General features: G+C 42.4%; 1 long non-coding RNA gene across 1 annotated transcript in view; it reads left to right on the plus strand.

Moving 5' to 3' along the window:
- The window catches only part of LINC02389 (long intergenic non-protein coding RNA 2389), a 93,749-nt gene that overhangs the window by 14,048 nt on the left and 66,608 nt on the right, over positions 1 to 13,093 (plus strand). The window contains exon 2 of the long non-coding RNA NR_033988.1: positions 2,756 to 2,877. This is a non-coding gene — a long non-coding RNA (long intergenic non-protein coding RNA 2389). The remainder of the gene's footprint in view (positions 1 to 2,755; positions 2,878 to 13,093) is intronic.

Consider the following 13,093-nt stretch of genomic DNA (forward strand, 5'->3'; position numbering starts at 1 on the left):
AGGGGTAGGCTTATTTTTATTTTATGTGGCTCCAAGGGTGCAGGTAAGTTTCAGGGCCCTCTCTGTCTGGACTATTGCATCAGTCACTTACCTGACTCCAGCTTGCTGCCTTTCACTCCCTTCTTTATTTCCAGAGTGATCTTTCTAAATGCAAATCTGAGTCTATCATTCCCTGTCTAAAAACTGTGTATGGCTTCCCATCCTAATCAAGATAAAATTCAGGCTCCCTTGTGTGGCATACAATGTTATCTCAGACTTAGTTTTCCCCATGTTTTCCAGGCTTGTGTCCAGCTTCTCTGTGCCTTGCAGCAGATATTGGACTTCTCCACATCCATGGTTCCATGTACTTACCGTGCAGAGTCACACCTCCAAACCTGTGCTTAACTCGTTTACTCTTCTATAACACCCTATCTACTTTTCTGTGCTTGGTTAACTCCTGCTCATTGTTCAAGACTAATTTCCTTTAGGAAGCTGTATACATTAGAATTCAATTTGGTTACAAGTGACAAAAAGTAACAGTGGCTCTGTTGCTGCCCTGGAGTAAACATGAGAAAGAAAAGGATATTCTGGGGTCCATGGAGAGGAACATCAGATGCTTCCACAGTCTGTTCTTGGAACCACTATTATTCAACTGGGACTGGCAAATCCCAGTTGAATCTTAGATTTCAAGACTATGATGTTGCTGCCTGGTATGTGCCTTCAGCTCTAGGGAGTTAAAGTCATGTATTTTGCTTTGTTTTGTCTCATATTTTGCCCGAGACTTGTTTTAGATTAACTTGTCACTTCATTAATTCATTCAATGACTGATTCACATGTGGGTTTGCTGTAACTTACTATATAAAAAGTCTGTTTCTTCTGGTTTAATCATCAGGGTTTCTGGAGGTGTGGAATAGCAGACTAATTATCGCTCTGTAACCTCTCATGTTTTTGAGGTGAATTACCTATAGTATGAATTCTTTGCTCATTTATCCTATTATTTGTTTAAAAAGAACTATTGGCCCTTGTCACTTACCAGACACAGTGCTTGGTGCTCAGGATGCAGAATGAGAGACATTCCTTGTCCTGAAGGAGCTGCAGTCTAGTGTCAGGGTAGACAAGGAAAGCAAGAGTAGAGTGTAATAAGTTCTTAGGTCAAGGTATACCTGAAGTGTTATAAGAGTCCAGAAGAGGGGCATGTGATTGAGACTTGGAGTCAGGGAAAAACCTCAAGAGAAAGTAGTGCCTGGAGGTTGCAGTGAGCAGAGATCATGCCACTGCACTCCAGCCTGGGAGACAGAGTGAGACTCCATGTCAAAATAACCAACTAACTAACTAACTAGCTAACTAACTAACTAAATAAAGTAATGCCTGAACTGAGTGATGAGAGACCTAGGAGTCAACAGGAAGCTAACATGGGCTGAACCAGCTTGATAAAATAAAACTCTCCACAGTTTCATCAACCCTAACCCACACCATTTCAAATAAATATTCAAAGTAAAAAAAAAGTGCTTGGTAGGCAACTTTATCACAAGTTCCCTAATCTCCGTCAACCCACCCCAGTGTTACCCCAAATAAATATATAATACAAGTTCCTCAGTTTCAACTAGATCCCCACCTGGATTCCTATCCCTCCTCTAGAGACTTCTGGAATGTCACTGCCCTATTTTCTTCACCCCACTCCATCCCTCAGACTCACCCCTGTCCCTGATACCTACAAATCAGCATCATCCTTGGGCTCATCTAAAGAAAGTAATGAGAGGTGGATGGAGTTAAAGGACAAGGCAAAGTTCAGGGGCGAGATGAGGCTTTAGGATGAAAAAGGACCAGGAATTGGGTGGGGATAACTGCTGCACATATCCTGTAGTATTGTGTGGCATTAAGAGTCTGCCTTATACCTTAGAAGAACTCTTTCTCCATCTCTGGTGGTAGGGTATAGGATAAAGTGGAGAGAGTCTTACTAGTTAAAGTGGAGAGAGTCTTACTAGTGCATCTTGCCAAGGGCTTTTTTTAAAAAACAGGTTCTAGCTCCGTCAACCCGGGCTGGAGTGCAGTGATGTGATCATAGCTCACTGCAATCTTGAACTCCTGGGCTCAAACAATCCTCCTGCTTCAGCCTCTCAAGTTGCTGGGACTACAGGCACATGCCACCATGCCTGGCTAATATTTTGATTTTTGTAGAGATGAGGTCTCACTGTGTTGCCCAGGCTGGTCTCAAACTCCTGAGCTCAAACAATCCTCTTGCCTCGGCCTCCCAAAATGTTGGGATTACAGGTGTGAGCCACTGCACTAGGCCCATTTTAACCATTTTTAAGTGCACAGTCCTCTGATGTTGAGTCATTTGCATTGTTGTGCTTTCCTGATACTTCTTGAGCTCTTTCTATCTGTAGACTTTGGTCCTCCCTTAATTCAAGATAATTCTCTTCTAGCATATCTTGATTTTTTTTTGGCCACTTTCATTATATGTGTCAGTGTGTGTGTGTGTTTTAACCAACATATCACATTCTGAGGAGAGTGCAGCAATGTGGGTTCTAGTGGTTTCTTCTTATTCTCCTGGGCCGCTTCAGAATTTAAGTGTTTGGTTTAATAAGGTTAAGGAGCTGTTTTTTTGTTTGTTTGTTTGTTTGTTTGTTTGTTTTTCTGGAGAGAGGTCAGCAAAATGCTCTGTGGATAAACCAAGAACTTAGTATGCAAAGGGCTTTTGGTAGCCTGTGCACACAACCCGAGCACACATGGTATGAGTGAGTGTCCACACACAAGCATGCCCTTGCTTTCCTAGGTCACCTGTGGAGAAAGAAACATCATCTCTCAACAGAGGATTGTTCCTCCGTTTGATGATACGTGCATCCTGCCATCTGGAATTCAATTGACTGTTCTGTCTTGGAGCCAAGAATCTAGAAAGTGAGTGGGAACATCAGATGTGAGTCAATATTTCACAATGTCACCAAAGAGAACATATCAACACTCAGTTGACAGGCAGCAGCCCCGTGCAGATGATGACAAAGGCTGGATACATGTCAGGGTGTGAGTGTGGAAGAGGGCAGGGGCTGGGGACTTTTATAAGAATGTTTCCGTGCCTAGCTCAGTGCTGGCCACATGTTTAGTTAAGCAGGACATTTCCTTACTGGGAGTCTGGTTGGAATTGATTTTCTATTAACTATTTATTTTGATCTTCTATTTTCTCCATTTTAATAGGTTGTTAGCAAAATCAGCTTAATGCTGGTCATATACATTGATTAACTGTTTCATTGATCATACAAACACAACCATTAAATGCTTGTGTGTTACAGAGAAAATTATTGTAACTATATTCATACTAGACAGATAGACAAACAATATGCTGGGAAGGAAGTTTTTTTTTCTTCTTTTTAATAAGAAGTAAATTTGATACTCAAGAGGTAGGGTGGTGGACTTAGAATGACCATCCCTACTTTGCTCATCCTTCAAGGTCTGACTGAAATATGACCTCTCTCCAAAGCCTTGCACAGTCTTCCCAGGCCCCGTCATGGTTCCTTCTGCGGCTTGTGTGTGTTCTCATAGCACTGCATATAGCTGCGTATTTACCCGAGGCAGGAAAGTGACCCTTATTTATCTTTTGCATGTAGTAGAAGCCCAGTACATTCTGACTAGTTTTTTTTTGTTTGTTTGTTGTTGTTGTTTGAGACAGGGTCTAGCTCATTGCAACCTGGAACTCCTGGCTCAAGAAATCCACCTACCTCAGTCTCCCTAAGGGCTGGGATTATAGGTGTGAGCCACCATGTTTGGCCCTTGATTCGGTTTTAATTTCAATTTTCAAAAAGTAAAAGGAAGGTTTATTGTTTTTGCTAATTTTACAAGTAACCAGGCTCACTGGATTAGGATCAGACAATAAAGTAGAACGTGCAGTCACCTTCAGCCTATCACTTAGAGACAACCATTATGAATATTTTGGGATATTTATCTCCAGATCTCTCTCTCTCATATGTGTATATATATTTATTTATATTCATAAACTTAGAGGTAGAGATTTTTCTTTTTTTTTCTTTCTTTTTTTTTTTTTTTTTTTGAGACGGAGTCTCGCTCTTTCACCAGGGTGGAGTGCAGCGGCATGATCTCTGCTCACTGCAACCTCTGCCTCCCGGGTTCAAGCAATTCTCCTGCCTTAGCCTCCCGACTAGCCGGGACTACAGGCGTGTGCCACCACACCCAGCTAATTTTTGTATTTTTAGTAGAGACGGGGTTTCACCATGTTGGCCAGGACAGTCTCGATCTCTTGACCTCATGATCTGCCCGCCTTGGCCTCCCAAAGTGCTGGGATTACGGGTATGAGCCACCGCCCCCAGCCCGAGGTAGAGATTTTTCTAAATAAAAATGGAATCACATTATAACTCCTTCTTCGTCAGAAGCTCTTTTAACTCAATATGCCACAAGCATCTTTTCCTTCCTTTCTTCCTCCCTCCCTACTTCCCTCCCTCCCTCTCTGCCTCCTTTCTCTCCTCTTCTTCTCTTTTCTTTTCTTTCTGTTTTTTTGACAGAGTCTTGCTCTGTCACTCAGGCTGTAGTGCAGTGGTGCAATCTCAGCTCACTGCTCACTGCAACCTCCACCTCCCAAGTTCAAGTGATTCTCCTTCCTCAGACTCCCGAGTAGCTGAGACTATAGGTGTGCGCCATCATGCCCAACTAATTTTTGTATTTTTTTAGTAGAGTTGGGGTTTCACCATGTTGGCCAGGCAGGTCTCGAACTCCTGATCTCATGTGATCCACCCACCTTGGCTTCCCAAAGTGTTGGGATTACAGGCATGAGCCACCATGCCTGGCCACCATAGGCATCGTTCTGTATCAATAAATATGGAGCTAGACCCACTTGTTTAACCAATCAACCTATGTTGAATTTTTAGGTTATTTCCAATTTGTCATATTACTACAAATAATACTATGCTAAATATCCTTGTATATACATCTTTGTAGCCTATTTCCATTCTACTTACCCAATCACTCTTTAAAAAAATCTTTTAGGCTATTGTCAATATTTTCCTATTACTATAAATAATACTTGGATAAACATCTTATACATACACCTTTGTCACCTTTTCAATTTTTTTTTAAGGATAACTTCCTAGAAGTAACCTCATTGGTTACTCATTGGTCAAAGAGCATGTACTTGTAAAACTTTGGGATACATGTTGCCAAATTACCCTGCAAAAGGTTGTGCCAACTTGCACAGTTATTACCTGTATGTAAGAATTCCTCTTTCACCGTACTCTTGGCCACAATGGGGTTTGTGAACATTTTAAAACTTTATTAAATATATTTTGTGAACTAGGTGTTAAGCTTAACCACAAACAGCACAGTTTCTCTAGGGAAGTGTGTCCCATCTAAACAGCCAACTTAGAAACAGCCCTCTTCCATCAGCTTGTGGTTGCCTGTGAAAAATACCCTGAAATCTTTCTTTAACACCACTCATTAAAAAATGTACCAAGGTGTAAGGTGGGTCCCTCCAAGCTGGTTAATTACTGTGTACCAGAAGATATGAAAAAACAAAACAAAACAGAAAACCAACAACAGTCTCTTCTTTAAGGGAGTCTTGGGCCATGCAGTCTGATGACAACATTATCAGGTTGTTCTAGGGGATATTTATTATTAATTAATGGAGTAGACAGGTCAGTGGTATTTAGAACTATACCCAAGACCCCTTGAAAAGATTCAGGGCAAGAGATAAATTGATGAGGTCCCTCCAAATATGACTTTTCATCCAGCAAGTTATGTTTAGACACCCAGCACTAGAAATATGTAGACAAATTGGAGAGAGTTCAGAGAAAGGCAATAAAAAGATGAAGGGAACGGAGGGACTGATTTATGAGGAAAGATTAAAGAAACCAAAAACACAGAGCCAGGACCCAGAAATGACTTCAGGGAGCATGTTAACAAACAGCAAATACCTTTCCATGTAAACCACCAAAGTGGGGACTTGTTTAGCTTGGTACCAAGAATGTAAGTAGTGGCAGTGAGGTGAAAAGAAAGAGAAGAATCCAACTTACTAATGTATTCAGGAGTGTCTCCAGAGAGAGGTTAGAAGTTCCCTGGCTGGAAACGTTTAGCACCAGACAGCACTCAGCCCCCACAAGGAGAGGATTCTAGACCGGAAAACAAGAAAATAGACTTGCAGGTTAGATCATACCAAGCCTTGGAACCCTTCCATGTTGTTACCTCATGGTGACTGTATAAATATACTATCTGGGGTCCCGAAGGTAAACTAATTCAGCTCATCTCTTTTTCATTTCCTGTCTTTAATGCCTCTTTAAGTTAGCAAGTTCAATCAGGTTTGAACATATGCTTTTTCAATCAAGTCTCTCTGCACGGTGTCTTTGTGACAGAGGTGGGCGCCGAAGCTGGGGTTCAGGTGACCGCTGGAGATATCTCTGGGCTCCTTTAGTGCCTGTCTGAAATCACCAAGGAAGAGAGGAAAGAGCCAAGCAGCCGGGAATACAGCCCACCCACCCCAAGCCAGAGAGAATGTCCTGCATCAGTTAGGCCTCATAATTTCTGCCCTAAATCTCATCCCCATAACAGAAATGTAAGAGCTTTGTCTCTTCAAAAATCCACCAGGTTCCAGAGGAGATGGAGAAGGATGTGGGGGCCTATTTGGGGAATATGATCTTCATTTTGGTTTCCTTGTCCTTCTGTCAATAACTTGCTTGGATTTGCTCCAGCCAGTATTCGGTGATCCATAAAAAGGGGAATGGAATAATAAGAAAAATGGAAACAAACAGCAATACGCACACACCACACTCCTCTATTTAAAGCATTTTACTCCTTCACAACGAGCCAAGTGTTTCCTAACTGGCTGTCGTGGGCCTGACGCTGAGTTGGCGCTGTGGGGAGTGCCCATGCAGGCTTTTTGTGTGATGCCCAGAATCAGTGCTGGTGCAACCAGAGGTGGTAAAAAGAAAGTGAGGAGAACCAAGGCTGACTAAGTGTGCTGACATTCCTCATTAGGGTTGCACGTGGGAGAGAGAGAGAACTAGTGTTCAGGTTAGCAGCTTGAGCTTTGACCATAGACAAGGGTTTCTCTACCAACTGTGCGACCCTGGTCAAATTATTTAACCTCTCTAGGTCTTGATTTGTTCATCAGTAAAAGCAGAGATAAGAGTACCTAGCTCATAGGATTGCTGGGAGGGTTAAATAAATAAAACATATAATGTGCTTAACCAGTCTTGCACAAACTAAGCACTCAATAAATGTTAGCTATGAGAGTCCCTCCTCTTCCTGCATGCACACACAGAAACTCCTATCTCGAAGTCCAGGGGGCCTCCGGCACCCATCTGTGAGTAAGGGAAGGTGATCTTCCCCTCTGTTGCTTAATTTGCTGGCCATGGGTTCCCAGGGAATCCATCATTTCAGTGAAAAGTTTTAATTTTGACTTTTTAATTTCAATATTTTATTACTGAATACATTTAATGTCTTGATATTTTAAAAAACCAAATCCAACCTGATTTTGGATCACGTCTATGACTACCTTATAACCAAACACTTAACCAGTGCCATTGAATTTTAGTGCCCACGTTTGCTTCTAGGTTCATAACTGTGTTGACACCAGAAAGCCACAGCTTTAAACTTTCCTTTACACTGAGCTGTGGGCCCCTATTTTTCTGTGTTCCTTAAGTTTGAGGAAAACTGAGCAATGACAAACACCATGGAAAGTAGGAGTGGGGAAGGTGAGAGGCCATGTCTAGGGATGTTCCGGGAGTATCTCCAAAATGGAGAAAGTTCCAGAAATAGGAGGCAGCATCAGGTAGTGATGAGCTGTGAGCCAGGCTGATTTGGGTTCAAAGGTCAGCTCAGCCACCTGAGCTGTGACCTTGGAGCTTAGAGGCCATCACAGCTAGGTGAGAATTAGAGAATCATTTATGTCAAATCCCTTGCTTCATCCACCTGCAGATATGGATTCATCCCGCTGAACACCAACATCCCCTCACTGGTATAGCACAACATATGAACAGAAGGGGTGGATTTTCAATGGTGGAAGACTAGGCAGCAGAGACCTAGTGTTATATGGCTATGGCTGTGATGATGTCACCCCCAATCTGCCACCACAAAGCAAAGATACCGTGAAGAGGACAACTTCTGTAAAATGCACAGAAGGTCCACAGGGGCCAGTCACTCACCTGGTAAGAGGAGTGGCAAGAAGAGGTTTTCCAGGGAAAAGGATACAATGCTCCTCCTGAGACTGTCATAAGAAGGAGGGAAATTGATTGCATAAAATATAGAATGTTGGGACTTGGAGGAAAAGTTTTGTAGATTTGGGGCACCCAGTTGTAATATTCTGGCTGTGCCTGGCCATCCTGATGTTCAATAATGTGAGTCTTCAGTCCAAGAGCTTAGATATAGCTCCTCCAACTCCTGGGGGCAGAAAGCACACCAGTATGTTTGGCTTGGCTTCTGGAATTGGTCTTCTTTGGGGTCCTCACAGCTGCCACTCCACTTTTAGAACAGAGAAGAGCCAACTCCTGGTTGACCAGAACATGGCCAGGAAGGCAGCAGCAGGTTTTGGAGGGAGACCAGTGGGTTCACCTAATTGAGTCTCAGTTTTCACATTGGACAGATAGGGGTAATTGTGAGGACAAAAGAAAATCACCTAGTCCAGGACCTGGCACCCAATCAATTGTAGCACAATTTCATAATTTACAACCGGCAGTGGATAGAACAGAGTGGGCAGGCCCAGCTTTCAGCCCAGAGAGTATAGAGAGAAGAAAACTTTAGTTTCTCTGTCATTGAGGCCTTTTAGCCTTAGCTGGCTGCCCTCAGGATCTCTGGGAAACAGAGATAATTGCACATGTATGTGACAGAGAATTTTGCTTGCAGGCATGGAAGTGTCAGGGAGAAAGGGCCACACAGTTTCCAGGGACCAGCAATGCCAATTACTTTTTTCCAGCTTATTTCTGGGGTTTTGGACATGAACATATCTTTGGTTGACCAAAGCATCCCTGTTCATTTTCAGTCAGTAGCTGATTAAAGTGAACTTAAACTCTGTAGAAAGTAGATTTTAAGTATGTATGCATGTGTGCAGGGAGCAACATCTGTGTATAGTGAAAAGTAAGAAGAATCAGGACATTGAGTTTCTGTTTTCTCCTGACTCTATGATGCAGGCCTGCCTGGCCTCTTCACTGTTTTGGGCCACAATTTCTTCATTGACAAAATCTTCAGGAGTCTAGATCAAATGATTTCTAAGAAAGGACCCTTCCTGCATTTCCAGTTGATCTATGAATGCATTCCTGAGGTGCTGGGTGGTTTCTGATTTTCTTAGGAGTTTCGGAGCCAACCGCCATATTCTTAGATAGGCTCAGGGGAATTCTATTCTGAGAACCCTCACTTAGGGAGAACAAGTCTTTAATTTGAGGATCAGCTCAGCTTTAAATTCTCCTTTTCTCCTTCACTCTCTATCTTTGGGCTTACTCTGCATTGTTAATTCTATGATAGAATGAAAAGAGAACTGTGAACAGTTGTGAGGAAAATTTTTGTTGACCTAGGCTAAATTTCAGTTACGATGCAGGACAGATTTGATGGAATTTAAGCCCACTTAGTTATGTTCAGAGAGGAAACTACAGTGACTTGGAGAAGCAAGTAGAAGATATGGAACACGTGACTGAAGAATCCATCTTTACAGAACTGCTTCCTCAAAGCAGGCTCATGGGCTTTGGGGTAATGTGTACCTTGAAAAAATAGAAACATTTTCACAGTCAAGTCCACTAGCACTGCAGACATCTAGGTATTGCTGCTACTATTGCCAGGAGGACCAACTTGGAGGGCTATCTCCTCCACCTCTTCCTCAACCCCACGAAATTAAATTCAGGATAGGGGAAAAGTGAGCCCAGGAGAGATATTGGAGTTTGCTCCTTGTAATAATGCCACCTTAGGTCCAATAAGCCTGAACAGAATTTCATGTGTTCACAGCTGGCTCTGAATTCTGTGTCAGAAAGGCAGGAGCTTTGTCTGTAACCTGAGTTCTTCTAACAATTGTTTTTGTAAAATTAGAGGGATTTGAAAAGCATGAGGTTAATGTGCTTAGTGATCTTATTAGCTCCTTTATGGAAGCAGACAAGCACATTTCCAGGATTGACTCAGAGTAGAGAGATAGGGAAACGGAGGGAGTGGGAACACTCTGGACTTTCTGATCAATTTTTCTATAAACCTAAAAATCCTTCTATAAAAATAAATTCTATTAGTTTTTTTTTTGTAAAAAAAGGAAAAACTACCATTGGTGCTGAGTAGTTCACTTTTAAAACTACAAATTTGCCATGACAGGAATAAAAAACAAACAAAAAAAACCTACTGATAATTTATCTCTATATGACCCCTTTTTCATTACTACTGGGCCACAAATCATCTTATAACTAAAAAAAAAAATGCTGTATGTCAAAGAAAAGCATATCGAGATGGATCATTGTTGGCCTGGCTTGTGGTGGGGCCATTGAGGGCAGAGATGCACTTGGAGCTTGACGCATAGTAGATACTCAATAAATATAAAGTGAATGAATGGACAGATTGGCAAATAGAAGAGGTAAGCAGTCTCTGTTGGGATGCATGGGACTTTAATATTATGCCTTGGGGCAATGCTCAGGTGCAGAAGGGCTCTGGGGACCAGTCTTGACCCTGGCCTGTAGCTCAGAAGCCGCCATCACCTATTCCATCTCTGAACTCCTTACAACACAATATCACCAGTTTGCCTCTCATTATTTCTGAAGACAAATCATTAGGCCTTTTTTAACCTAAAGGTCTTGCTGTCAATTGTAGGGGAATAGAAGCAAATGAGAATTTCTTTCCTTAAGTTGCCAGAATACTAAAAACATTCTTAGTGCCCTGGGCCCTGGCACTTGCCCTACACCTGCAGTGGCAACTGGATGACCCCTTGGTCTCCAGCGATTGGCTTTTATGTACTGTCACATCACTCCACTCTTCTTATCTAACATGACTTGTATTCTTCGTTATTGTCTACCTTGTTTTCTCAGGATGCAAATTCCTTGAGAGACGGCTGCTGCCTGTGTTATTCACCACTCTATCTACTGGGCTTAGGAGAGGGCTTTGGCTATAGTAGGTGTTCTGGTTGGAGGATGAATGAATGGAAACCCAAGAGTCAAAGCCAATTTGGATAAGAAATTTGAACCTGAGTTGGGGATGTTAGCACAGCTCAGGCACATTCATCAGGCAGTTGGGAATATGAATATCCAACTTATTCATTCATTCAAAAATTATTACCTAAGCATCTACTATGTGCCAGCTACCATGTAGATGCTTTAAATACAGACTTGGCTTTCAGCCTTAGATGTCCCAGGGATAGAACCTCCAGATCAAGTTCTCAACTTATTTCTGCTGCCAATTTGCTGTGTGGGTTGGACCAAATCACGTAACTTCTCTATGTACAAAGTAGGTCCGCCGATATTCCATCACCTCCCAGGGCAGTTGTAAGGATTAATTGGCATTTATAGAGTGCTTTGAGCTCCAGAGATAAAAGGTCTCCTGCTTCTGCCAAATCGCATGATTACAGTAGTGTGGTGGGATACACGATTTAGAGCTTATGAAGGACTTTGAAGATGAAAAGAGACAAAATCTTATTATGATTTCTTTCAGCTCCTAGGCAGGACTGACCTTGAGGTTTATGTGCCCCCAAGTCTTTCTGGCACCACTGGGATTCTGGCTCTTTTTCTTGTCCTTCTCAAGAAGTTACACCGGCCCTCAAATTTTTTTATTTTGCATAGTTTCTAAAAGAAAAATCAAAGGCAGCTTCCTGCATTATAGAAACACAACCTCAATGATCCCAGAGCTAAGGGAGGAGGAATAAGGCACAGACTAGTTTTTTTCTCTGGCACTCTCATTCCTGGATTTATGTCACTAATTGTTGGAACCAGCAAATTCTATTGAAAGACAAGATTGACTCCCTCAATAAAATAAAGCCAAGTAATAACAAACCCAAAATGTGGCTTGAGGCATTAATTTGTTTGATGTTAGATTTAGAAAATGTGTTCAGAAACAGTTTCTGATGACATATTAAAATGGCCTCATCTGAGAGACAAAATATTGATCTATATCCTGTGCCTTTCTGGAGTTTCCTTCCCTGTTGAAGACCTGCAAGACTCCATCTCTGGAGAAGGAAAGAGACCTGGTACTGCAGGGCCTGCCGCAACCTCCTTCTGAGTTCTCAGGACTCTGGGAAAGGCCACTACTGAAATGTACCTAAAGCAGGGCCATACCTTAAAGCAGGGGCATGGGGTCTGGGACTGGGGTAATAAAACCTGTATGGGACCCACACTAGAAAGTCTCACTTGGAATGAGTCCACTCTATTCTCATTATTCAAAGCCCACTTGGGACAGAAAATTTGAGAGAGAAGTTAGTGGTATTCAGAAAAGAGAATATGGTGCAGTACCCTAAGGCTTTCCCAACCCTTGCCCCTTAAATGTAGGGTCCAGAGCCTCTGCCTAACTTGTCCTACCTAAGGGATAGGCCTGCACAGGAACATGCAGGGTTTATGTGGTGGGTGCCGTGTGATTTCCACTTGGCTGGAGGTTTTGCTGCAGACACTCACATGGTGATCCTGAAGCAGAAGATCTGGATCTTGGAGGCAATGTACTCAGATGGGATCTGATCTTGGTTATATTAACAACTCTATTAAAAATAAATCCAGGCTGGGTGCGGTGGCTCATGTAATCCTAGCACTTTGGGAGGCTGAGGTGGGTGGATCACCGGAGATCAGGAGTTCAAGACCAGCCTGGCCAACACGGCGAAACCCCATCTCTACTAAAAATACAAAAATTAACCGGGCATGGTGGTGGGTGCTTGTAATCCCAGCTACTTGGGAGGCTGAGGCAGGAGAATTGCTTGAACCCGGGAGGCAGAGGTTACAGTGAGCTAAATCATACCACTGCACTCTAGCCTGGGTGACAGAGCAAGACTCTGTCTCAAAAAAAAAAAAAAAAAAAAAAAAAAAAGAAATCCATAAGACCAGAAGGAGCTTTCAATTTCTTAATGCCAGAAGGGTAGTAAAACTTATCTATATGAGCTCTTTCAAAACCTGACTGGTGGATAGAAATAGTTTATTTACTTTATTGACTGGTCTTGAACCTTTCCATATCTTTTTCCACTTAA

The sequence above is a fragment of the Homo sapiens genome, chromosome 12 (assembly GCF_000001405.40).
Source record: "Homo sapiens chromosome 12, GRCh38.p14 Primary Assembly".
NCBI lineage: Eukaryota > Metazoa > Chordata > Mammalia > Primates > Hominidae > Homo > Homo sapiens.